The sequence below is a fragment of the Homo sapiens genome, chromosome 12 (genome assembly GCF_000001405.40).
Source record: "Homo sapiens chromosome 12, GRCh38.p14 Primary Assembly".
Classification (NCBI taxonomy): domain Eukaryota; kingdom Metazoa; phylum Chordata; class Mammalia; order Primates; family Hominidae; genus Homo; species Homo sapiens.
Window position 1 is genome coordinate 56,401,011 of NC_000012.12, and position 2,065 is coordinate 56,403,075.

Sequence of the window (2,065 nt, forward strand, 5' to 3'; positions counted from 1 at the left end):
AGGCAGAGGTCCCTGCGGCCTTCCGCAGTTTTTGTGTCCCTGGGTACTTGAGATTAGGGAGTGGTGATGACTCTTAAGGAGCATGCTGCCTTCAAGCATCTGTTTAACAAAGCACATCTTGCACCGCCCTTAATCCATTCAACTCTGAGTTGACACAGCACATGTTTCAGAGAGCACGGGGTTGGGGGTAAGGTTATAGATTAACAGAATCTCAAGGCAGAAGAATTTTTCTTAGTACATAACAAAATGGAGTCTCCTATGTCTACTTTCTACACAGACACAGTAACAATCTGATCTCTCTTGCTTTTCCCCACATGTGCCAGAATCCATAATTGGCACAGACATACATAGCAGCTGGCAGAACCCCCACATTGGCTCCCTGACTGGTAGGGTGAGGGCTATTATGGTGGGAAAGGCCAAATGGAAGCCATTAGAGCTGCCTCTACCTAGAAAAATCATAAATCAAAAACAGTATCACATCCCGGAGGAATAGCAGAGATTAGTACCACCATCAAGGACTTGAAAGACACAGCGGTGATGATTCCCACCACATCCCTGTTCGACTCTCCCATCTGGCCTGTGCAGAAGACGGATGGATCTTGGAGAATGACAGTGGAGTATTGTAAGCTTAACCAAGTGGTGACTCCAATTGCAGCTGCTGTACCAGATGTGGTTTCATTGCTTGAGCAAATTAACATATCTCCTGGTGCCTGGTATGCAGCCATTGACTTGGCAAATGCCTTTTTCTCCATTCTTGTCCATAAGGCCTACCAGAAGCACTTTGCCTTCAGCTGGCAAGGCCAGCAATATACCTTTACTGTCCTACCTTAGGGGTATATCAACTCTCCAGCTTTGTGTCATAATCTTATTGAGAGACCTTGATCACTTTTCACTTCTGCAAGATATCACACTGGTCCATTACATTGATGACATTATGCTGATTGGATCCAGTGAGCAAGAAGTAGCAAACACACTGGACTTATTGGTGAGACATTTGTGTGCTAGAGGATGGGAAATAAGTCTGACTAAAATTCAGGGGTTATTCCCTCTAAGGTGAAGGATAAATTGCTGCATTTGGCCCCTCCTACAACCAAGAAAGAGGCACAACACCAAGTGGGCTTATTTGGATTTTGGAGGCAACATATTCCTCATTTGGGTGTGTTACTCAGGCCCATTTATCAAGTGGCTCAAAAGGCTGCCAGTTTTGAGTGGGGTCCAGAAAAGGAGAAGGCTCTGCAACAGGTCCAGACTGCTGTGCAAGCTGCTCTGCCACTTGGGCCATATGACCCGGCAGATCCAATGGTGCTTGAGCTGTCAGTCACAGATAGAGATGCTGTTTGGAGCCTTTGGAAGGCCCCCATAGGTGAATCACAGTGGAGGCCTCTAGGATTTTGGAGCAAGGCCCTGCCATCTTCTGGCGATAACTACTTTCCTTTTGAGAGACAGCTCTTGACCTGTTACTGGGCTTTGATGGAAACTGAACGTTTGACTATAGGTCATCAAGTCACCAGGCGACCTGAACTGCCTATCATGAACTGGGTGCTTTCTGATCCATCTAGCCATAAAGTGGGTCTTGCACAGAAGCATTCTGTCATCAAATGGAAGTTGCATATATGTGATCGGGCTAGAGCAGGTCCTGAAGGCACAAGTAAGTTACATGGGGAAGTGGCTCAAATGCCCATGGTCTCCACTCTTGCCACCCTGCCTTTTCTTTCCCAGCCTGCACTGATGGCCTCACAGGGAGTGCCCTATGATCAGCTGACAGAGAAAGAGAAGACTACGGCCTGGTTCACAGATGGTTCTGCATGGTATGCAGGCACCATCCGAAAGTGGACAGCTGCAGTACTACAGCCCCTTTCTAGGACATCCCTGAAGGACAGCGGTGAAGGGGAATCTTCCCAGCGGGCAAAACTTTGAGCAGTGCATCTGGTTGTGCACTTTGCATGGCAGGAGAAATGGCTAGATGTGCGATTATATACTGATTCATCGGCTGTTAGCCAATGGTTTGGCTGGATGGTCAGGGACTTGGAAGAGGTATGTGGATGGACCTCTCTGAGTGGTCAAA

General features: G+C 47.6%; 1 annotated feature.

Moving 5' to 3' along the window:
* Nucleotides 327–859: an enhancer, noted in NCBI's record as "NANOG-H3K27ac hESC enhancer chr12:56795121-56795653 (GRCh37/hg19 assembly coordinates)". NCBI's record gives its function as "activates a minimal SCP1, AML or CMV promoter by ChIP-STARR-seq in primed H9 embryonic stem cells {active_cell/tissue: H9 hESC(primed)}" and the evidence as "EXISTENCE:reporter gene assay evidence [ECO:0000049][PMID:30033119]".